Source organism: Homo sapiens, chromosome 7 (genome assembly GCF_000001405.40).
Source record: "Homo sapiens chromosome 7, GRCh38.p14 Primary Assembly".
Taxonomy (NCBI): Eukaryota; Metazoa; Chordata; class Mammalia; order Primates; family Hominidae; genus Homo; species Homo sapiens.
In genome coordinates this window covers 154,640,682-154,666,515 of record NC_000007.14, presented here as the reverse complement: position 1 = coordinate 154,666,515, position 25,834 = coordinate 154,640,682, and the positions used below count along the sequence as shown (strand labels likewise).

Genomic DNA, 25,834 nt, shown 5'->3' with positions numbered 1-25,834 from the left:
TTAACTATTATACCACAATGAAAAAAGATAAGTATATGAGGTGATAGAGATGTTAATTAGCTTGATTTAATAATTTCATAATGTATACATATAACAAAATATCATATTGTACCCTGTAAATATATATAATTATCATTTGTCAATTTATAAAACCCCCCAAAACTATACCCCCCCAATACAATGAAGTAGGGTGCAGGTGTAAGAGAGAATGAATAACTCTATAAACAGATATGGAGTGATTTCCATGTCAGAGTTAACAAAGCCCAAGAGTATGTGTTATAGTATGTATGTATGTATGTATGTATGTATATGTGTATATATATATATATATACACACATATATGTATGTATATAGTATGATATAATTATATATCATAGAAGAAAGGGATATGAGAATATATATGAATCGAGTCTTTTGTGAAAAAGGAAATGTAGGAAGCAGAAACCAGGAACCAGATTGATTACCTATAGGGTATAGGTGGAAATAGGGTGGAAAGATGGGACTGCTGAGAGAAGGAAGATTCTCTGTAGTTCCGTGAGTAAATTTGTTTCTCCCAGGGGTTTGGAGGATCAATTTTGAGACTGTGTGCATGCTAGAATGGGACAAATATGTAAATATATTGGAGATAATGAAAGCCAGGTTTTTCACTGTTGAAAAAAAACGTTATAAGGAAAAGGGGAACACTAAAATAAACTGTGAAGTTTGAAATCAGAGGTATCTGTATAAACTCATGGTTTTTAATCTCTATGTACACAGATAGATCCAAAATATAGATATGTGTGTGTCCATGGGTTAGTATACATACAAATATGTCCTGCGTCTGTCCACTGAGAAGGCCTAGAAACAATGACACCCCAGTAGCAATGAGCACAGTTAGCACCCAGATCTTGGTGTCTAAATACCATCACCCAGTAAAAGAAAATAGGGCTTCTGGGAGGAGCAATTGTATCTGGGCTGGGGCAGGGAAAATACAGAATGAGTCAGGAATATTTTAGGAAACCAGAAAGCAATGGAATACTAAAAAAATAGGGGTTTATTGAGAGAACATGAAAGCTAACCTAAAGGAGTTTCTAATGACTCATACTAGAACAGTTTGATCAACAACAACAAAAATTAATGTTAGTACTGGATTAACCCATAGAATAAAATAAATACCCATGAGTCTTTACTGATATAAATAATTAAATAAATCAAATCATCAAATTTACAGTGGAAACCTGGCAGACAGCCACTTAAGCAAATGACCAAGGCCAACATCACTGGAGCCCATTGGATATAATGCAATGGGAAGGACAAATAATCATTTATGTGATATTTTTTACCCAAAATGCAGAACCTTACTCCAATCATGAGAAAACACTGGGAAAAACCCAAATTGAGGGACACTACAACATAACTGACCAGTCCTCCTCAAAAGTGCAAGGTCATGAAAGACAAGGAGAAATGGAGGAAATGTTATAGACTGGAGGGTGCTAAGAAGAAAGAACATCTAAAGGCAGCATGGGGTCCTGGGACACAGGTAGAAAATTGGTAGAAAAATTGGTAGAATTCAAATGAGGCCTGTAGATGAGTTAACAATATGGCACCCATGTTAATTTCCTATTCTTGATCATTATACCAAAGTTATACAATATGCTATCACTAGGAGTGGTGACATGAGAAATATGGGAGATTTTTTTGCACTACTTTTGCAACTTTTCTGTGTCTACAATTATTCAAAATAAAAAGTTTTTAAAAAGAATTTCATAGCTTATATCTCATTGGCTTTAAAAATTATCCTAAATAGGAATGAAAAGTCAGATAATTGCCCTCCCAACATACTGTGATCTTGATTTTAAAAACTGAAAAAAAAAAAAAAAGAATTCCATATGGAGCACAGCACAGGCCCTCATTATGTGCCTATGAACAAACAAATAAATTAGTAAATAAAGGTAGGTTCGAGAGGTGGCTCTCAGCAAAGATCCTTTTGAAAGTTTAGAGACAAGCCTAACAAATTCACTTGACCTGTGTTTATTTGGAATTTTCTAAGCACAGAGGGCAGAGTGGGACATCAGAAAGACTTAAACTCCATTGCCTTACTTAATATTGAAATTCAGTTTGTTAGATTATGATTTTCAGTAGGTATCTAAGATATTCAGAAACAGCAGGGGATTAACTTTTCTTTGATACGACAAATGTAAATTCCCATAAATGCTAACTGGAAATAATATGCAGTGCCTTGCAAGACTGCATGAACACTAGGGCCAATACGCCATGGTGATTCACCATGATCGCGTGAACACTAGGGCCAACAAGCCATGGTGATTCACAATGACTTTATGAACACTAGCGCCAATATGCCATAGTGATTCACCATGACTATATGAACACTACGGCCAATACGCCATGGTGATTCACCATGACTATATGAACACTACGGCCGATACGCCATGGTGATTCACCATGACTATATGAACACTACGGCCGATATGCCATGGTGATTCACCATGACTATATGAACACTATGGCCAATACGCTATGGTGATTCATCATGACTATATGAATACTAGCGCCAATACGCCATGGTGATTCATCTTGACTACATGAACACTATGGCCAATACGCCATGGTGATTCACCATGACTATATGAACACTACGGCCAATACGCCATGGTGATTCACCATGACTATATGAATACTACGCCCAATACGCCATGGTGATTCACCATGACTATATGAACACTATGGCCGATACGCCATGGTGATTCACCATGACTATATGAACACTACGGCCGATACGCCATGGTGATTCACCATGACTATATGAACACTACGGCCGATATGCCATGGTGATTCACCATGACTATATGAACGCTATGGCCAATATGCCATGGTGATTCACCATGACTGCGTGAACACTAGGGCCAACACGCCATGGTGATTCACCATGACTGCGTGAACACTAGGGCCAACACACCATGGTGATTCACCATGACTATATGAACACTACGGCCGATACGCCATGGTGATTCACCATGACTATATGAACACTACGGAGAATATGCCATGGTGATTCACCATGACTATATGAACACTATGGCCAATACGCTATGGTGATTCATCATGACTATATGAATACTAGCGCCAATACGCCATGGTGATTCATCTTGACTACATGAACACTATGGCCAATACGCCATGGTGATTCACCATGACTCTATGAACACTATGGCCAATACGCCATGGTGATTCACCATGACTATATGAACACTACGGCCAATACGCCATGGTGATTCACCATGACTATATGAACACAAGCGCCAATACACCATGCTGATTCACCATGACTATATGAACACTACCGCCAATACGCCATGGTGATTCACCATGACTGCGTGAACACTACGGCCAATATGCCATGGTGATTCACCATGACTATATGAACGCTATGGCCAATATACCATGGTGATTCACCATGACTGCGTGAACACTAGGGCCAACACGCCATGGTGATTCACCATGACTGCGTGAACACTAGGGCCAACACACCATGGTGATTCACCATGACTATATGAACACTACGGCCGATACGCCATGGTGATTCACCATGACTATATGAACACTACGGCGAATATGCCATGGTGATTCACCATGACTATATGAACACTATGGCCAATACGCTATGGTGATTCATCATGATTATATGAATACTAGCGCCAATACACCATGGTGATTCATCTTGACTACATGAACACTATGGCCAATACGCCATGGTGATTCACCATGACTATATGAACACTACGGCCAATATGCCATGGTGATTCACCATGACTATATGAACACTACGCCCAATACGCCATGGTGATTCACCATGACTATATGAACACTATGGCCGATACGCCATGGTGATTCACCATGACTATATGAACACTACGGCCGATACGCCATGGTGATTCACCATGACTATATGAACACTACGGCTGATACGCCATGGTGATTCACCATGACTATATGAACACTACGGCCGATACGCCATGGTGATTCACCATGACTATATGAACACTACGGCTGATACGCCATGGTGATTCACCATGACTATATGAACACTACAGCCGATACGCCATGGTGATTCACATGACTATATGAACACTAGGGCCAATACGCCATGGTGATTCACCATGACTGCGTGAACACTAGGGCCAATATGCCATGGTGATTCACCATGACTATATGAACACTAGCGCCAATATGCCATGCTGATTCACCATGACTATATGAACACTATGGCTAATACGCCATGGTGATTCACCATGACTGCGTGAACGCTACGGCCAATATGCCACAGTGATTCACCATGACTATATGAACACTACGGCCAATATGCCATGGTGATTCACCATGACTATATGAATACTAGCGCCAATATGCCATGGTGATTCACCATGACTCTATGAACACTATGGCCAATACGCCATGGTGATTCACCATGACTATATGAACACTATGGCCAATATGCCATGGTGATTCACCATGACTATATGAACACTAGCGCCAATACACCATGCTGATTCACCATGACTATATGAACACTACCGCCAATACGCCATGGTGATTCACCATGACTGCGTGAACACTACGGCCAATATGCCATGGTGATTCACCATGACTATATGAACACTATGGCCAATATGCCATGGTGATTCACCATGACTGCGTGAACACTAGGGCCAACACGCCATGGTGATTCACCATGACTGCGTGAACACTAGGGCCAACACGCCATGGTGATTCACCATGACTATATGAACACTACGGCCAATATGCCATGGTGATTCACCATGACTATATGAATACTAGCGCCAATATGCCATGGTGATTCACCATGACTATATGAATACTACGGCCAATACGCCATGGTGATTCACCATGACTATATGAACACTACGGCCAATACGCCATGGTGATTCACCATGACTATATGAATACTAGCGCCAATACGCCATGGTGATTCACCATGACTATATGAACACTACGGCCAATACGCCATGGTGATTCACCATGACTATATGAATACTAGCGCCAATACGCCATGGTGATTCACCATGACTATATGAACACTACGGCCAATACGCCATGGTGATTCACCATGACTATATGAATACTAGCGCCAATACGCCATGGTGATTCACCATGACTATATGAACACTACGGCCAATACGCCATGGTGATTCACCATGACTATATGAATACTAGCGCCAATACGCCATGGTGATTCACCATGACTATATGAACACTACGGCCAATACGCCATGGTGATTCACCATGACTATATGAATACTAGCGCCAATACGCCATGGTGATTCACCATGACTATATGAACACTACGGCCAATACGCCATGGTGATTCACCATGACTATATGAATACTAGCGCCAATACGCCATGGTGATTCACCATGACTATATGAACACTACGGCCAATACGCCATGGTGATTCACCATGACTATATGAATACTAGCGCCAATATGCCATGGTGATTCACCATGACTATATGAATACTAGCGCCAATATGCCATGGTGATTCACCATGACTATATGAATACTACGGCCAATACGCCATGGTGATTCACCATGACTATATGAATACTAGCGCCAATACGCCATGGTGATTCACCATGACTATATGAACACTACGGCCAATACGCCATGGTGATTCACCATGACTATATGAATACTAGCGCCAATACGCCATGGTGATTCACCATGACTATAGGAACACTACGGCCAATACGCCATGGTGATTCACCATGACTATATGAATACTAGCGCCAATATGCCATGGTGATTCACCATGACTATATGAATACTACGGCCAATACGCCATGGTGATTCACCATGAGTATATGAACACTACGGCCAATATGCCATGGTGATTCACCATGACTATATGAACACTACGGCCGATACGCCATGGTGATTCACCATGACTATATGAACACTAGCGCCAATATGCCATGGTGATTCACCATGACTATATGAACACTACGGCCAATATGCCATGGTGATTCATCATGACTGCATGAACACTAGGGCCAATACGCCATGGTGATTCACCATGACTATATGAACACTACGGCCAATACGCCATGGTGATTCACCATGACTATATGAACACTACGGCCAATACGCCATGGTGATTCACCATGACTGCGTGAACACTACGGCCAATACGCCATGGTGATTCACCATGACTGCGTGAACACTACGGCCAATACGCCATCGTGATTCACCATGACTATATGAACACTACGGCCAATATGCCATGGTGATTCACCATCACTGCATGAACACTAGGGCCAATATGCGATGGTGATTCACTAATTCCACTTTTATTACCTGGCTCACCTGTGCTCAAGGAGTCCTTTACTTCTTCCATAAGCTAAGATGCATTTCCCTTCCCTCACCACCAACACGTTACAGGAGTTTCCATAGATCCACACCAGGAATCAAAAGTTTGCATCCTAGTCCCAACCTTATGACGTGTGGATCACACGGCCTTCAGCAACTCTCTGCGTCTTATTTTCTCCTATGGGGACAATAGCTACCCTCGTCCTACAGAATGGTCATGAAAATCAAGAGAAACAATGGCTATTAATTTATAAACTCTACCATAGTCCAAAGAGGTAATTGTTTTCTTTTTGCTAGCTAGTGACTCTCTCAACCTCTCAATCTTTCTCAGTCTCTATAAGTTAAACAAGTGACTCCAAGATGCCAGAAGTGAGTCGTGGCAATCTGTCTTCAAAAACACCAGGATGTTCCTCGTGGGGAGGAAGTTGTGAAGTGGTGGAGATAATTCCAAGAAGGTGTAAATTTAATTCTGAACTCTGCCACTAGAAGCAAAGGGCTTGAGGCAATAGAGTAACTGGATCCAAGTTTGTTTCCTGTGTATAAAATGAAAATAATCATGTTTGCCTCGTAGGGTTGGACGCAATAATCTATTGTATGTGAAAATAGATAGCACAGAGCTTCCTAGCAGATATTCCATAAATGCTGGTTTATTCATTGATAAACTGGTAAATAATTTGACCATGCAATATAATACACACAACGTATATATGTGAATGTGTAGATGTATATGTGTGTTCCCTTAACCCTTCACTTAATTAGGAAGGATCAATGGTTGAATATTGATAAAATGTTATTACAACAACTATCTATATGTAATTTCTTTTAAAGGCCCAGTAATATGTCAGATATTGGGACAAGTTTACTCTATGGAACTCTGTAGCAAAAACAAATGGGCTCAATCCCTGTGTCAGGTGGGAAACTGGGTTTAGGGTCTCAATCCTCAATCATATTCTCCACATCTGTTCCTATGAAAGGAACCTATATTTTTGCATTGGAATTTGATTTCTTGCAGGGTATCAGATTCTTTTCCTTTCAAGTTAAAAGAGGATTTGAGAGTGACTTTTCCAACTTCTTCTCCACTGTGGGAATTCCCTTTTGGATGAGCCACTTGGTGGTCATTCATCCTCTGCTCCAATCCCCTACTGAATGGCTTTCCTCACACAACTCCTTCTCTGCCCAGACTAGCGAATGCCCAACTTGGTTTTATGCCGAATCTACCTCCTCCACATCAACACCTTGACCTTTGAGAATGACCTTTGGGAATGACAAATGCAATGTCTCCAACCTCAGCTGACCACTAACCATTCCCATCATCACAACCACCCAGAGTGTGAGACACGTCTGTCCTCAATGCCAATTCCAATCTTTCCTGCTCTCCTTACATCTCTCTTGTACCTACTGCCCCCTTACTCTAAAGGGACAAGGAGGTGTGGGGCAGACAGAGGAGCACTGAAGGCTCTCCCTCCCACACCCACTCCCTCTCCCTTTTGCCTACAGGGCTTCCCTCTCCATCAGCCTCACTCTCAGCCTTTGCCTCTGGGAGGCTCCAGCTTGGCCCAGGGTCCCTGCTTCCCTGCAGAAGGCTTCCTCCCGGACACACTGAAGTACCTGGTGCTCCTCCCTCCTCTCAGTCTCCAATGACCAGGCATCCCCTTTCCGTCTCGGCCAGCACTTCCTCCTGTACCTCCTTTTTTGTTCCATCCTAGAACTATCAAATACTTTCCATTTACCTTCCTGGTAAACTTTTCTTATTTATTACTATTTTTAATTAATAAGCTTTATATTTTTAGAGCAGTTTCATGTTTAGAGAAAAACTGAACAGAACTACAGAGAGTTCCCATATCCTCCTTCTTCCCCTGCCCTCAGTTTTCCAAATTACAAACATCTTGCATTAGTGTGGTGCATGTGGTATAATTGATAAACCAATATTGAAACATTATTAACTAAGTCCCACAGCTGACATTAGGGTTCACCCTTTGCCTGTGTGTTCTGTGAGTTGTGACAAATCCATCCGTCTTGCACCTGCCATTGCAGGATCATACAGACGTCTTTTGGGTCTCCAAACCTCTGTGTGCTCGGCCGATTCATCCTTCCCACCCCACCAAACCCTGGCAAGCACAGATCTGCTTAAGGCCCCCATAAGTCTGCCTTTTCCTGAATGTCACATAGTTGGAATCATACAAAGTGTAGCCTTTCAGGTTGGCGTCTTTCACTGAGGAATGTGCGCTTTTGGCTCCAAGTTTTTCCATGGAGGAGAGACTTTTATGCTGCCTCAGCCTCTCGGATTTTGCTCCACCAGTCTCTTTCCTTTCCCTAAGGCTGTTCTCCCAAAGGAAATGCAGACAACTAGGACCTCCTCCTACACAGTTTCTCCACCCATCTCTGGGCACCTCCTCCCACGTAGCCTCTCCACCCACCTATGAGCACCTCCTCCCACGCAGCCTCTCCACCCACCCATGAGCACCTCCTCCCACGCAGCCTCTCCACCCACCCATGAGCACCTCCTCCCACGCAGCCTCTCCACCCACCCATGAGCACCTCCTCCCACGCAGCCTCTCCACCCACCCATGAGCACCTCCTCCCACGCAGCCTCTCCACCCACCCATGAGCACCTCCTCCCACGCAGCCTCTCCACCCACTCGAGCATCTCCTCCCACGCAGCCTCTCCACCCACCCATGAGCACCTCCTCCCACGCAGCCTCTCCACCCACCCATGAGCACCTCCTCCAACGCAGCCTCTCCACCCACTCGAGCATCTCCTCCCACGCAGCCTCTCCACCCACCCATGAGCACCTCCTCCCACGCAGCCTCTCCACCCACCCATGAGCACCTCCTCCCACGCAGCCTCTCCACCCACTCGAGCATCTCCTCCCACGCAGCCTCTCCACCCACCCATGAGCACCTCCTCCCACGCAGCCTCTCCACCCACCCATGAGCACCTCCTCCCACGCAGCCTCTCCACCCACTCGAGCATCTCCTCCCACGCAGCCTCTCCACCCACCCATGAGCACCTCCTCCCACGCAGCCTCTCCACCCACCCATGAGCACCTCCTCCCACGCAGCCTCTCCACCCACCCATGAGCACCTCCTCCCACGCAGCCTCTCCACTCATCTCTGGGCACCTCCTCCCACGCAGCCTCTCCACCCATCTCTGGGCACCTCCTCCCACACAGCCTCTCCACCCACCCATGAGCACCTCCTCCCACGCATCCTCTCCACCCACCCATGAGCACCTCCTCCCACGCAGCTTCTCCACCCATCACTGGGCACCTCCTCCCACACAGCCTCTCCACCCGTCTGTGGGCACCTCCTCCCACGCAGCCTCTCCACCCACACATGAGTACCTCCTCCCACGCAGCCTCTCACCCATCTCTGGGCACCTCCTCCCACGCAGCCTCTCCACCCACCCATGAGCACCTCCTCCCCACGCAGCCTCTAACCCATCATCAGCCCAACGCCTACCGGTCTTGGTCCAATCCAGTGAGTGGTCCAAATCTGAGGGCCACTTTCTGACCTTCTCTCCTGTCCCTAACCCACTGCAATATGGCTTCCATCCATTTTTAAAGCTGAAATTGCTTCTCTGAAGATCTTCTGTGTCCATCGAGGTGCCAAAGTCCGTGGCCTCCCCGTGCTGGGCCTGGGTGGTCTCTCCCTGCACATGCTGCGGCTGCTGCTTCTCTGTCTTGATGTTCAGGACTGCCCCTTCTCCCAGCTCTCCCCCGACCTCCCTCTCGACTGCCCCTTCTCCCAGCTCTCCCCCCACCTCCCTCTCGACTGCCCCTTCTCCCAGCTCTCCCCCGACCTCCCTCTCGACTGCCCCTTCTCCCAGCTCTCCCCCGACCTCCCTCTCGACTGCCCCTTCTCCCAGCTCTCCCCCCACCTCCCTCTCGACTGCCCCTTCTCCCAGCTCTCCCCCCACCTCCCTCTCGACTGCCCCTTCTCCCAGCTCTCCCCCCACCTCCCTCTCTGGTCCTCGTCTCTGTGGGATCTTCTCTGCCCACCCTTTAAAATCCAGTGTCCTGGGCGTGACCGCAGCCCCGCTCCTCTCCTCCACACCCTTCTCTGTCACTGTCATTTCAACTGTGTCCACATCTCTGGCCTTCAGAACTGGGAGGGGCAATTTCTGTTGTTTTAAGCCACGCAGTTTGTGGCGATTTCTCACCGCAGCCCTAGGAAGCGAATGTCCCTTCATTTCCCAGTTCCACCAAGGCCCAAAGCGACTTGCTCAGGGCCAGGTAGCTGACCAGTGTCTGCGTGAAGATTTAGTCAAAGCCTGAAGGGACAAAGTGGAGACCCTCAGAGAGCAAGGCAGAGGCAAACCCTGGGGGAGATGACCCCTGCCCTGCCCACCCCCTGGGCTTCTGGCCTGAGCCGGCTTCCTGCGGGAGAAGTCCCTGGCCCCACCTTGCACATTTAGGCCACGGCAGCACACTTGGCTTAAGCCCCAATTCCTCGCATCAAATGATTTTCCAGCATGTCCCGGATTCTGCTGAAATTCTTAGAGGTGTGTGTGTGACAGAGAGGAAGACAGGCAGAGAGAAAGAGAATGCAGGAAGGTGTACAGTGATTTACTTTGGGGCTATGTAGTGGCCCTCCTTCACTTTTCTTTCTTTCTTCTTATTTATTCCTTTATTTTAAAGCAGCCCTGGCAGCTGTGTGATGAATCATCTCCTGGGTAGAGATGGATTAGTTAAAAAAAAATGATGAAGGAAGAATAAAGTGATCTGGACTTAACTATATTTCAAAATAATCACACAATCCATTCTGATTTTGCTTATTTGAGCAATAAACAAAACAGGGCATAAATCATGCTGAAATTTGAAGAGTAAATTAGTGCAGCGAAGTTTACTCATTTATCTTCCTAAGTGATTTTGAGGGACTGAAAAGCTTTATAACAGCAACAGCATTTGGGAGTGAGGGGGCAAACCTAACAATTGCTTTCCTGGATCCTAACGTTTTATCACCAAAGGCACCAAAAAATAGCATTCTCAGTGTCTAATCATATGTGTTTTCTGAGTCTTCCTATGTACTTAGCATGGAAGGTAATATAAAAATGTGTGATACACTCCCAGTTCTAAAAGAGAACCTGACACATGGTAGATGCTCAATAAATATTAATTGAATAATTAATTAGTGGATGGGTGGATTAATAAGTGGGTCTAGTCTAATCTCCAGTCACTGAGTGGCTAGGGTCAGTAATACCTTAAACTCATGTAGCATTTAAATATTCATATATATTCATTTTTTGTGTATATCTAAATGACACAGTTAAATTTTTGAGGGCAGGAATCCTCATGGGCATAAATGCTTCCTCAGGGGCCAATATTTGAGCACATATTCCATTAGTAATTTTAAAATTTTCCCAGACACTCTATGGTGTATCAGAAGTTCCTTTCCTTATGAAACACTTGGGCCGGGCACGGTGGCTCACGCTTGTAATCCCAGCACTTTGGGACGCCAAGGCAGGAGGATCAGAGAAGGTCAGGAGTTGAGACCAGCCTGACCAACATGGTGGAACCCTGTCTCTACTAAAAATAAAAAAATTAGCTGGGTGTGGTGGCATGCGCCTGTAATCCCAGCTACTCAGGAGGCTGAGGCAGGAGAATCGCCTGAACCTGGGAGGCAGAGGTTGCAGTGAGCCGAGATCACGTCACTGCACTCCAGCCTGGGCAATAGGGCGAGACGCTGTATCAAAAAAAGAAAGAAAGAAAGAAAGAAAGAAAGATTTGGATATAGATGTTTTCAGGCAGAGATGCTCCACTCACTAAAGATGGATCGGGGTGGCCTGTTCTAAAATATTAGTGACAGATGTGACAGATTCCCTCTCTAATTCAGAGAGATGCTTTTAACATATATGATCACAAATATGAGCACAGTCATCCTTGGTATCCATGGAAGATTGGTTCCGGGACACCCCTGCAGATACCAAAATCCACAGATGCTCAAGTCCTTGATATAAAATGTGTGGTATTTGCATATAATGTAAGCACATCCTCCCGTATCCTTTAAGCCACCTCTAGACTACTTATAATCCCTAATTCAATGTAATTGCTAATGTAAACAGCTGTGATACTGTATCATTTAGGGAATAATGACAAGGAAGAAAGTCTGTACAAATTCAGTACAGATGCAACCATCCTTTTTTTTTTTTTTCCAGGTATTTGACCTGAGGGAGGTTGCTTGAATCTCCAGATACAGAACCCATGGATATGGAGGGCTGACCGTAGTAAACACAGTCACACGGAAATGGAATCTTTGTAATTAAAGGGAGCTTGTGTCTTCTCTGTCACTGTAAACCTAATATCAAGATCAGTGCTCAACAAACTCTGTGAAATGAAGACATGACGGGGAAGCAGAAATGAGTTTGGGGGGTTCAGTAAATGCTAAAGCATAATTTGGAGGTGGGGGTGGAATGTTCTAAAATGGAATGAGATGATGCTTGTGCCACTCTGTGAAGAAACTAAAAAACAGGTTTGTTTTCTATCTATCAATCATCTCTCAACCAATCAGTCTATCATCTATCAATCAATCAGTCTATTATCTATCACCTATCCATTAATGGATTGATTTATTATCTATCTATATCTATCTATCATTTATCTATCTACCTATTTATCTATTATCTATCTATCTATCATCCATGGATTGATCTATCTAGCTATATGTCTATCTGTCATCTATCCATCTACCTATCAATCATCTATCCATCATCTATCTATCATTTATCTATCATCTATCTATCATTTATCAATCAATCTGTCAATCTATCTATCTATGTTTAGAGACAAGGTCTCATGCTGTCGCTGGAGTAGATTGGCACAATCATAGCTCTCTGCAGCTTCAACCTCCTGGTCTCAAGCCATCCTCCTACCTTGGTCTCCCGAGCTGTTGGGGCGTTAGGCATGTGCCACCATGCCCAGCTCTGTTTACCTTCTTAAAGCTTTTACCTTACATCATATGTGTTAAAAACAAGTTTTTGGTCACCTCAAGGGCTTTTTCCTCCTGCCTTTCAGTAAAATCCCATTACAGAACAAAAAATGTTGCCAAGAGGAAATCTTATTTCTTTTTGGCCTGTGGCAAGAGCCATGAGACCCCAGCCTGGGAGACAGGGGAACACTGTAGTTTATGAAGGACAAAGAGAAGTTCCTTAAAGAATGAATGGACGTGAACGGAGCCAGTTCAGACAGGTGCTCCCTCCTCTCTTCCCACTCAGAGCGTTCTTTCCTCTCAGCCTCTTTCCCATGTTTTTTACTTTCTGAAGCCGTTCGCTGGTATCAGCTCCGACTCAGGGAGTTTGCCCATATTGGCCTTGAGAACAAATTGCTCAAACACTCAGCTCAAGATGTAGTTTCAGTAAACATAAGAGGTGTGAAAAACATGCAGAAGACTGAGAATCTAGTGGCGTCTGGGTCTCAATGAGCTGCACTCTGACGCCTCAGGCTCTCACAGTGCTCAGAACGAACAGCAGGGACGCAGCAGGGACATGGTGCACATGTAGCAGCTTCATGCAGCCTGAGGACCTGACAACATACATGTGCATGTTCTAGCATGTTCAACACACACACAGGGAGGTGTGCTTGTGGGCTCTGTCACTGTGGTCCCTGATAAACGCTCCCTTCTCCCAGAGAGCTGCATCTATTATCCAAGGACACTAATGAGGCTCTCCATGGGATTATTTTAAACCAATCTAAGTGTGTATATTGATCACAAAAAAAAAAAAAAACCACAGACTTAGTGATAATGAATTAGACTAAAGAAAAATACAGAGAAGCCATTCAACACTAAATCTCCAACAGCTCAGGTAGGGGAAAAAAAGTAATAAATTAGAAAGCACAAAAGAATGTACAGTATAGGAAAAAAAAAACGCCTTTGGAGCAAAAGTGATTTTGATGCTATGGCTAATGAGCAGAGCAGGGTGCAGGCGAGGATGTGTTCCAGTGGCTCTGCCTTGCCCCAGTATCCTGGTGCCGGGCATAATTACCAGCTGATGTGTTGGGAGCCTGCGGAGGAGCCCCCTATTTCACTGTAAGATCCTACTGCTAATTCTCAGGACAGTATCCTGATCATGCCATCTCCTCTTCCACGCACTACAGAGCTCAACCTTTTCTGTCCTTCCTTTAAATTCTTAAGGGATACCTGAGACCTTTCATGTTGATCTTATCTAATTTGGGGGCTTATGATTAGAAAAAGGCCTGAAATCATCGTGTTATTCAGAGTGGGGCTTTGTGTGAGGATGCCCTGGGAAAAGGTTTCCAATTCTTGGAGAAAACCGCCCAGCATCCTGGGGCTGTGGGGGCACAGACCGCAGCTGGAGGAAGCCCCAAGGGGTGATGTTGGCCCAGGATTTCCTTTGTGACTTTCAGTTTAGCCATCTCATCCTTTCCCTTTCGGCTGCCCATCTGTAAATTGGGACGGCGGAAACCAGAGTCGTGCTGAGAATGAGTAATGTTGCCGAAGCAATTTGGAGACAGTCCTTCGAGACTATTTTAGAACCAGCAGCCGATCCTCAGCCATGCTAATTTGGGCAAAATACCTGACACAATTAGGGCCCCGCGGCACTGCAAAGGATTCTTCTGACTCATTTGGCCCTAGCTCCGGCATGGTGCTCGTATCATTAACAGCTAACTGCTTGGGGTTTTGTTTAGCCCACGGAAGGGGAGATCTCATCGAGGTAGGGTGCAGACGAACTGGGGAGTGAACTGCAACTAGGAAAAAAGGGGAATAGGTTTTTCACAGGCTGCAGATATAGTTGATTTAAAACTATACTTATGTAACCCCAGGACATCACATTGTACAATTCTTATGTAGTCTAATAGGAGCACAAAGGTAATTTACTCATTCTCTAATGAATGTGGTTTCTGTAACTATATAGGAAATTCCTTGACAATCAGAATGGTTTCCTTCCCCTCTGACCCCTCAAATCCACAGTACCTAGTGCAGTGCTATTACCTAGTGCAGTGCTAGTACCTAGTGCAGTGCTAGTATCTAGTGCAGTACTAGTACCTAGTGCTATACTGGAAGCTAGTGCAGTACTGGTACCTATGAAGTCGTGAGTGCATACATTAACACTGCCTGAGAGCTCCTCTTAGCATTTCAAAAAACCAATAGAAATGTACCTTCGGGCAATGGTGTGGTGAATCAGTTAGGATGTACACAGAGATGTAAGAAATTGACCTTTACATTAGAAATTGGGACCTTGGTTGTCTAAATTTTCTGTGCTAATGAAAAGGTTAATTGTAGACAGTTCTCATCCTTCCAACCTCCCTCTACTAGGTAGGACGGCCTTCATCCATCCAGTTGGATGTAGAGAAGACAGCTGCTACAGGCCAGGTTTGAATTAATTTCTAGTCTGGACAAGCAGAAACACGAATTTTATCTGGTTTCTTTTTAACCCGAGTGCTGTGGCCACAGTGGCAGGCTGCATGTCAGCACTGCCCTTGGGTGTCTGACATCCTGGTAACGCTGTGCTGTGACTGAGCTGAGGGTCCTGGGAAGCCAGACAGCTCGACTCAATCAACAACTGTGTCTTCTCCTCTGAGTGCTGTGCTGTTGGGTTTGCCAGCCCTCACTTTGGAATTAAGGCCTTCTCATTAAGGAAACACCATGGCTTATCTTCTTTTACAGGACCCCAATGTCGGAAGTTAGGCCACGTCACCAGGATGTCCAAGTGCAGATGGCTCTGTGCTCTTTTTTTAAGCCTTTAAGCAACAGACAGACCCAGCCCAGAGCCAGGCTACTGGGATATGCATAGTCCCCTCCCCTCCCCTCCTCTGCCCTCCTCTCCACTCCTTTCCTCTCCTCTCCTCTCTTCTTGCTTGCTTTGTTGTCCAGGCTGGAGTGCAATGGTGCAATCAGAGCTCACTGCAACTTTGACCTCCTGGGCTCATGCGATTCTCCCACTTCAGCATCCCAAGTTTCTGGGATCACAGGCACGTGCCACCATATCCGACTAATTTTTTAATTGTATTTTTGTAGAGATGGGTGTCTTGCTATGTTGCCCAGGCTGGTCTCAAACTCCTGGGCTCAAGAGATCCTCCCACGTTGACCTCCCCAAATGCTGGGATTATAGGCATGAATCACTGCGCAGGCCCACAGTTTTGAATCTGTTTTATTTCTTTTGCTCTTCCTTAGGAGGACTACCAAGAGGGGCAGTTATTGAAAAACCTTCCTCTCTCCAAAATCTGGTCAAGGAGTGAGGACTTCATGGAGCAAGCAGGAACCAGGCTTTCTCAACCACTCCTGAGGTGAGTGCCCAGGGCCACGTGGAATCCGCTCCATGGGGAGTGTCTGTCTTGCCTCCTGCCTCTTATTTCCTATTTGTCTTCGCGGCTGATATGTCATTTAGAAAGTTCCACAGAGAGATCATTTGGAGAGATGAGAGATGGCACAGTCAGGCTGCTGCTCCTGCAGGCCGGACACCATCCCCCATGAGGCCCCAGGTGCCAGGTAGAGAAAGGCAGGTGCAGGCTGGCATTGAGGGCACAGATCTATGTGCAGTGAGCACAGATGCTTCTCCCCACAGCTGCAGGTGGAACCACCCCCAGGGCATGGTGGATTCCACCTGCCATACACAGTGACCGGGCGGAGGGCAGGGGGTCAAAAAAGTCAGTCCTGGGGTAGTGAGTTAAGAAAAAGGCAGAGTTCTTAATGGTGCAGCCACTTTGGAAGACAGTTGGGCACTTTAGAATCTAGTTAAAGGTGCATTTACTTATGATCTGGGAATTCTACATCTAGGTATTCACCCAAGAGAAAGGAAAACACGTTGGATGAAAATCTGTGTGCAAATGTGCACAGCACTTTTATTCATACTAGCCCCGAATTAGAAACACTCAAATATCAATGAAATGTTGAATGAAGAAACAAATTATGATATCCATGCAACAGACCACTCCTCAGCAGTGAAAAACAAATGAATGCAGACACCTGTCACAACACGGGTGAATCTCAAAAGCAATTATGCTAAGGAAGCCAGCTGCAGAAGGTAACACACTGTACAACCCCCTCAACATGACATTCCAGAAAAGGCAAAAGGCAAAAGTGTGGGATAGATGGCATGGCAGCGCTCGCCTGGGTGGAGGGGTATGGAGGATGCTCTGGGCAGGTGGGACTGCCCTGAGTCTTGCTTGTGGGGAGCTTATGTCATTCATTGCACCTATTTGTCAAACCTTACTAAACGATGCCTTTAAAAAGTGTATTTTTTTTTTTTTTTTTAAGATGGAGTCTCGCTCTGTTGCCAGGCTGGAGTGCAGTGGCATGATCTTGGCTCACTGCAACCTCTGCCTCCTGGGTTCAAATGATTCTCCTGCCTCAGCCTCCCTAGTGGCCGGGACTATAGGTGCACCCAAACCACACCCAGCTAATTTTTGTATTTTTAGTAGAGATGGGGTTTCACCATGTTGGCCAGGATGGTCTTGATCTCTTGACCTTGTGATCCACCCACCTTGGCCTCCGAAAGTGCTGGGATTACAGATGTGAGCCACCACGCCCGGCCGAAAGCGTGATTTTTATTAGAAGTAAATTGTACCACAATAAACTTGAAATCACATACGTACAGTTGGTGTTGGTGTATGCTCTTCCCACCACTATCCAGACAGACTGACCTGCTCCCTCTCCTTGAGTGATGCCCTTTCCTGGCTGAGGCTGCCCTAGATGTTTGATTTAGGCCAATGTCCCCAGCGCAGACACAGTGGGGTATTTGTGTCCAACCCTCTGCAGGAGCACAGGGGAGAGAGGAGGTGACGTAGAAACAAAACAAAATAAACTAGACAGCAAGGGACAGGTGGGGCCTTTCCCTATCCATCCCCAGTGCTTCGCATCAGGCCTGGCACTTGCGAGGGGCTCAGTGATTTTTTTTTTTTTTTAGACAGAGTTTTGCTCTTGTTGCCCAGGCTAGAGTGCAATGGCACAATCTCGGCTCACTGTAACCTCTGCCTCGCAGGTTCAAGGGTTCAAACGATTCTCCTGTCTCTGCCTCCCAGGTAGCTGGGATTACAGGCACCCACCACCATGCCCGGCTAATTTTTTTTTTTTTTTTAATTTTAATAGAGACGGGGTTTCACCATGTTGGTCAGGCTGGTCTCGAACTCCTGACCTCAGGTGATCTGCCCGCCTCGGTCCCCCAAAGTGCTGGGATTACACGCGTGAGCCACTGTGCCCGGCCAGGCTCAGTGATTGTGTGGAAGAAGGAACACACAGCACAGCACACACATGAACCAGGCTTGGCCACCCAGGGAGACACCCATGGGCCTTTCTCTTTAACATCTGTAAACAGGAAGAGTGCCACCCTCCAGGATGTCAACAGCTCTCTCCCAGGAGATTAATGGCTGGTTCAACACGCGTGCTGATTCACCAGCACAAGAAAGTGATCAACAGCCAAAATTAAAACATAAATAAATAAACAGAACACCTTCCATCTTAGATGCAGTGACCTGTAACATCTGGCGTGTCTGTCTGAAGCACAGATTCCCCGCAATGCAAACATGCGCGGTTAAGGTGAAGACCGGAGCTCACCAGAGGGAGCCCAGGGCACATGTGAGGTTGGCCAGGCTCAGGAACAATCACAACCAACGTCTGGTGCCCCTTGATGTGGACAGACCCCGGAAGAGCCGGCTCTGCTTCATCTCCATGCTGCAGACTTTGATACTATAACCCCTTTACTGAATATCATTAAGTAAATCCCCAAGAACATGGTTAATCTGAGATCTACCCTTATTTCTCCAAGTTTCTTGAGTGGACAAGGAAATTAATGCCTGAGAGGAAACTTTACTGGCATATTCAGACAGAAGTGTTATTTCTCAGCTTCCACGGCAATCCTGGGTGTCACTTGTCAAGGGCAGCAAGTAAAGGGGCGAGCAGGCCAGATGACCCCAGCTGGACACCAAAATCACCCAGGTAGCCTTCAAAGCCATCCTGAGGTTCCCTCTTCAGAGGCTCTTATTTAACCCATTTGTGGTGGGGCCCCAGCACACACATTCTTGCTCCTCAGCATGGCTTAGTTCCTTAATTCATTTCCTCCAGTGATTAACCAACATTTATGGGGTCCCCCAGTATCAGGAACCAGGGACATGGGTGTAGAGTTTAAGATGAACAAGGAGCCTGACCAAATGAGGACTCCTGGGCATTTTCACCTCATTTTCAAAGAGACTTGTTTGTTTGAAAATCTTTTAGACTTTCTAAGAAAGTCCCTGAGGGAACTAAATGATTCCACTGAAAAGAGTAGCTGCAATGACTCCCTTTGCAGGTGGCCGATGACATTCCAGTCACTGACTACCTTCAGCTTGTTATCTGAGACCTGCACCTGGAAAGAGCATAAGACCTGTTGGTGCAGCCTCTTTCGCCACTTTTGCAATTCAAAGTCACAGTGTCACCCTGTGCAACAGCTACTGGTATTACAGGCAGAGTCCACACCCTTCCCACCCAACCCCTCTCTCTGACAACTTAGAATGACGGAGAGAAAGAAGTCAAGCAATACATGGATATGGAAAGCATTCCTAAATATCCCCTTTAGAAAAATTCTATCTACAACAATGGAAGTAGCCATCTAACAAAACGATAAATTCTAGCGTGAAATAAGAAGCAGTATTGACTCTCAGCATTCAGGTTTTTTTTAGAGAAGGAGGTTTTGACGCTGTGGCTTGAAGGGTCAGAAGGATTTGAGTATGAGAGGCACAATGACCAGGACATTTCTGTAGTGCGCATGTGTGGGAGGGGGCTCGTGTGGTGGGGAGGAGAATGAAGTCAATAGAGGTGTGGATAACCAGAAACACATTCCGGGTTTGGGAGCAATGACTGGACACATTGCGTGATGTGATTCATTCTTACACAGCCGGATGGGAGAATAGAAACCTCAGAGGCAAAACTCACTGATTGTGGCATTCTTTCCTAAAGAGCCTGGGCATGGTTTTAGTCTATTTTTAAATGTAGAGCTCCAGGAAGTCATTGTCAATTGGTCAGAGTTAACAGTGAGTATGAGATTTATTTTCTGTCCCAAATTTAGGGAAATTTGATGAAGGGTGGCTAATTAGATTTGGCCATATTATGGAAGGTCTTGGTGTCCACCATGAATAGAGCCCTCAGTATTTTCTTTTTTTTTTTTTTTTTTGAGACGGAGTCTCACTCTGCCGCCCGAGCTGGAGTGCAGTGGCACAGTCTCGGCTCACTGCAAGCTCCACCTCCCGGGTTCACGCCATTCTCCTGCCTCAGCCTCCCAAGTAGCTGGGACTACAGGTGCCCACCACCATGCCTGGCTAATTTTTTGTATTTTTAGTAGAGACAGGGTTTCACCGTGTTAGCCAGGCTGGTCTTGATCTCCTGACTTTGTGATCCACCCGCCTTGGCATCCCAAAGTGCTGGGATTACAGGCGTGAACCACCGCGCCTGGCAACCCTCAGTATTTTCTATGAACCAAAGCAGGCCCTTAAAGACATCACCTCATCATACAGTGTTTCACAGAAACTTCACCATAAACCCCATGCATTAGGCAACTAATATATGGATGGAGTAAGTGTGCCCAGAGGAGCAAAGGAACTGTTTCATGACTACACAAGTAGAAACGAAGACTGGGGATTTACGCCCAGATCTCCTTGACTCTAAAGTCCACATTTTTTGGTGATGGTTACTAGAAGTCTGGATTTCAGCAGGAGGGAGGGATAGAAGGAGGACAGGAGGGGAAGGGAGAAGGGGAGGGAGAAATGGCTGAGACCAAGTCTTACAGGCAGATGTATGAGTTGTTCACAGTTCTGAAAATCCATAAAACCAAGTAACAGGCCGGGCGCAGTGGCTCACGCCTGTAATCCCAGCACTTTGGGAGGCCGAGGCGGGCGGGTCACGAGGTCAGGAGATCGAGACCATCCTGGCTAACACGGTGAAACCCCGTCTCTACTAAAAATACAAAAAATTAGCCGGGCGTGGTGGTGGGCGCCTGTAGTCCCAGCTACTACTCCGGAGGCTGAGGCAGAAGAATGGTGTGAACCTGGGAGGCGGAGCTTGCAGTGAGCAGAGATCACACCACTGCACTCCAGCCTGGGCGACAGAGCAATACTTCCTCTCAAAAAAAAAAAAAAAAAAACCAACAAATAAACAAAACAAAAAAAGCAAGTAACAGTGGAATTCTCCCCTCTTCAATGCCATGGTACAGACACATAAAATGCCATTTTATTGGGAGGCCAAGGCGGGTGGATTGCCTGAGCTCAGGAGTTCGAGACTACCCTGAGCAAGACAGTGAAACGTCGTATCTACTAAAATGCAAAAGAAATTAGCCAGGCATGGCGGTGTGCACCTGCAGTCACACCTACTCAGGAGGCTGCGGTAGAAGAATTGCTTGAACCTGGGAGGTGGAGGGTGAAGTGAGCCGAGATCGCGCCACTGCACTTCAACCTGGTGACAGAGCCAGACTCTGTATCTTAAAAAAAAAAAAAAAAAAAGCCATTTTAAGATTTCTTCTGCATTTTTGCTTCACACTGGTGCTTCCCCAGTTTACACACACAATCCTAGTTCTGTAACTTCCGGCAGCTGTGAAGGTAGCTTGCTCTGCACAGCCAAAGCCTATCTCCGTGTGTGCAGCAGCCAGGCCCTGGAGACTCACACACAGGAAGAAAGGGCTGGAAAGGAATGCACTAACCAACATGGGTGCTGAGAATTCTCATCGCTGCCCTCCTGAACTCACTACCTACAGACCACTCATGGTAGAGAGACCTCTCAGGATGGCACCAGGCTCAACTCACAAGGAGCCCAGGCTGCCACAGATTTAATTAGAGGGACATGGAATATAAACACTTGAAATCTGTCTTCATTTTCCAAGAGAACACCAGCTACTCATAATCACAATTAGTGTGGTTTCTACATTGGCTGAGCTCCCGACCCACCATTCCAACCTGGCTGCTAATTGAATCCAGAATTTTGATCTTCCTTTTTCTTCAGTGTATGCTATACATAAGCACAAAACTAATCTGCGCCTACTGTTTTCATCACATTCCTCTTCTGCTCCAAAAGGTTGCTATGTTCTTATTGTAAAGACCAATACTACTGGGTTTTAAACACTGAGTATTTCAGTTGTCTGCACTCTAGGTACCTCCTAAAGCCTACCTAACCCTATGCCTACCCATGCTGAGTCCCACGTGAACACTCCAGCAGCAGCCTGGCAGGGCACCTCATTAATTCTAGGAAGTGTTGGCTCATGCAAAGGTCAAGTTCATTTCATGTTTTACCCTGCCTGGAGTATCTCCCTCCTGTCATCTATTAAAAAGTAAAGAAACAAACAAACAAAAACTCAGCTATCAGGCTCACTTCAAGTCAAACTTCCTTCTTGAGACTGTTTATGATGGTGACACCTTCAACCCTCCCCTCCTTCTTTGGTGGGTAGTGTTAAAAATCCTCACTTCACGCCTGTAATCCCAGCACTTCGGGAGGCCGAGGTGGGCAGATCACGAGGTCAGGAGATCGAGACCATCCTAGCTAACACGGTGAAACCCCGTCTCTACTAAAAATACAAAAAATTAGCCAGGAGTGGTGGTGGGTGCCTGTAGTCCCAGCTACTCAGGAGGCTGAGGCAGGAGAATTGCTTGAACCTGGGGGGCGGAGGTTGCAGTGAGCTGAGATCGTATCACTGCACTTCAGCCTGGGCAACAGAGTGAGACTCTGTCTCAAAAAAAAAAAAAAAAAAAGAAATTACTCACTTAACAGACTTTATAACATTTTATTATATAAGTCTGTATCTTTCCTTTGCAACAAGATTTTTAATTTCTTAAGGATAGCAACCATGCTTTCATTGCTCCAGACAGTATTTCAATAAGTATTTGCTGACACAGTATCTTTTCTGCTTCCATTGGAGGCAAAACAAGAATGCTGGAAAGTTAATTGCAGAAGGTCAGAATGAGATGATATAAAAAAAATTATTGAGTATTGAGAATTGTAGACAGTTGAGGCCATAGATACTTCTTTTAAGAGGGAAATTAAAATTACAAAGACATTATAATTACCTGAGTGTCATGAAACAAGCCTCAGCTTAGAAAAATTATTAAAGAGAATTGTATGATTTTAGGATTATATTATTCCTTCATTTGTAACAGAAAAGATTTTCAAGATGGCTAGAAACTAAAGTCTGATAATATTTAATTATAAGACTACAAATATATATTGGGTACATACTACAATATTAACTAATCACTCACTAGATGCAAAATTCTTTGCTGGGTGTTTTGCATATATCATTCCACTTAATTCTTTTTTTGAGATGGAGTCTCGCTCTCCCACCCAGGCTGGAGTGCAGTGGCACAATCTCAGCTCACTGCAACCTCCGACTCCCAGGTTTAAGTGATTCTTGTGCCTCAGCCTCACTAAGCCCGGCCAAGTTTTGTATTTTTAGTAGACATGGGGTTTCACCATGTTGGCCAGGCTGGTCTCGAACTCAAGTGATCCACCCACATCAGCCTCCCACAGTGCTGGGATTACAGGCGTGAGCCACCACACCCAGCCATTCCATTTAATTCTTCTAACAAGCCTATGAGGTGGGCACTAATTTTTTTGTTTTGTTTTGTTTTTTGAGATGGAGTCTTGCTTTGTCTCCCAGGCTGGAGTGCAATGGTACAATCTCAGCTCACTGCAACCTCCGCCTCTTGGGTTCAAACGATTCTCCTGCCTCAGCCTCCTGAGTAGCTGGGATTACAGGTACCCGCCACCATGCCCAGCTAATTTTGTATTTTTAGTAGAGATGGGGTTTTGCAACAGGCCAGGCTGGTCTCAAACTCCTGACCTCAGGTGATCCACCTGCTTCGGCCTCCCAAAGTGCTGGGATTACAGGCATGAGCCACCATGCCAGGCCAAAGTGGGCACTATTATTATGATCTTCTTATATGGATCCTAAGACCTATGGAAGTAGAACAACTCTCAAGGTCACACAACCAGAAGTCAGCAGCACGATGGGTTCAAGTTCAGGTCTATGTGGCTGCAGGGTCTAAGTCACTGCCTGGCATGATGCTATTAGGCTGGCACTGGGCACTGTACATTCTCGACCTAGATATCTACTTCCCAAATAAACAGAATGCTCCTCTGGATCTCAGTCTATAAACTTAGAGAGCAGTTCCAGGTAGAAGGAAGTGATGTCTCAGTTTCCTATTTCCACAGATACAGAATATGGCTTTAAAAAGTCAACTACAATTCTAAAGGAACACAATTTTTTCACAGTTTTGTTTGGTGCCTGAAAATTACGAGTAGGTAAGCAAAGTTAGAGCAACAATATCCACAGAACATGGCCAGTCACGTAAAAAAATGCCTTTGAACACCCAGCAGTTTCTATTCTATTACAGTTCTGAGTTTGCCAGACCCCTAATTGCCAACATTACATAATAAAGTGATAGGACCAATTTTTCTTCAAATTGATTTCGGTTATAGAAAAAAGTCCATATGTCTTTCAGAACAATCCTATTGGATATGAGACTACATTTTAGAAATATATTATTACTATTATTAAAAGTGTGTATTATGTATATGTGTGTGTATAGATAGATAGAAAGCTAGGTAGATAGATAATAGACATAAATATAGATAATTTTGCCTTTGGCTTTAGACCCTAAAAAATATAAAGACAAAACTAATTCTAGAAAAAGAAGTCATGCCAGGAAAATGTCATGCAGTAGCCAAGTCTACAAAAATACTTATATGGAAACACCTAACAGATCCTTGACTCCACCATGGAAGATTCCTTATTTTATTAAAATTCTGATATAAAAACTTCTAGTGAAATGCTTTATGTTAAAAATAACTAGCTTTAGTTCCGCTAAAATATAGATTTGTTGTAAAAGGCATATGTCCTTTTAGGATACAATTTAAGAATACAATTTTTGGAAGCTTGGTATGTCAAAGTCAAACAAACCTACCCTTAGGTAATAGATTTTTGATTATATCAAAATTCAGCTGTCTTGGGAGTCTCATTGCAACTCCCACCTTCCACACAGAAAGAACTCTACCTGGCCCCAGCTATAGAGGTCACAGCCATCGGAGGAAGGAAGCTAACAGCGGGGACTGGGGAGTGAGAGGGGGATGGGAAAGGGGTAGTCCGTCCTGAAACTCTTTTGCCATTTGCCAAAAGGAAGGACAACAGAAATCAGAGGGCATGAGAACATTAATTAGACCATTTTCTCTGGCTGGTTGCAAAGACTGAAGCTAAGAAAAAAAAATCAAGCTATAAATGACAAAACCATCCTGAAGATTGCACGGCCTCTGGCTTTAATTTAGAGGGAGGAGCGAGGAAAGGAAAGATGAGAATTAGTGAAAAAGGTACAGATATGTGTTTTCTAAATTAAGAAAATCTCTTAGTTTTCTTCTACATGAATAATGTATATTCAAATATTTTAGTAGGGACATTTTTATTTTTAAAAGACAATTGTGCTTTCCTCCCTATCCAAAACCCACCTAGATCCTCAGACTTAGAGCTCCGGGCTGTGTTCTTTTT

General features: G+C 45.1%; 1 protein-coding gene across 13 annotated transcripts in view, besides 2 other annotated features; it reads right to left on the bottom strand.

Moving 5' to 3' along the window:
• The window catches only part of DPP6 (dipeptidyl peptidase like 6), a 1,146,153-nt gene that overhangs the window by 227,770 nt on the left and 892,549 nt on the right, over positions 1-25,834 (bottom strand). The gene's annotated exons all lie outside the window — the stretch shown is intronic.
• Positions 1,970-3,169: an enhancer, noted in NCBI's record as "BRD4-independent group 4 enhancer chr7:154455057-154456256 (GRCh37/hg19 assembly coordinates)". NCBI's record gives its function as "activates an origin of replication core promoter dependent on BRD2, P300/CBP, MED14 and CDK7 cofactors, and independent of BRD4, by STARR-seq in HCT116 cells {active_cell/tissue: HCT116}" and the evidence as "EXISTENCE:reporter gene assay evidence [ECO:0000049][PMID:35650434]".
• Positions 5,168-6,367: an enhancer, noted in NCBI's record as "BRD4-independent group 4 enhancer chr7:154451859-154453058 (GRCh37/hg19 assembly coordinates)". NCBI's record gives its function as "activates an origin of replication core promoter dependent on BRD2, P300/CBP, MED14 and CDK7 cofactors, and independent of BRD4, by STARR-seq in HCT116 cells {active_cell/tissue: HCT116}" and the evidence as "EXISTENCE:reporter gene assay evidence [ECO:0000049][PMID:35650434]".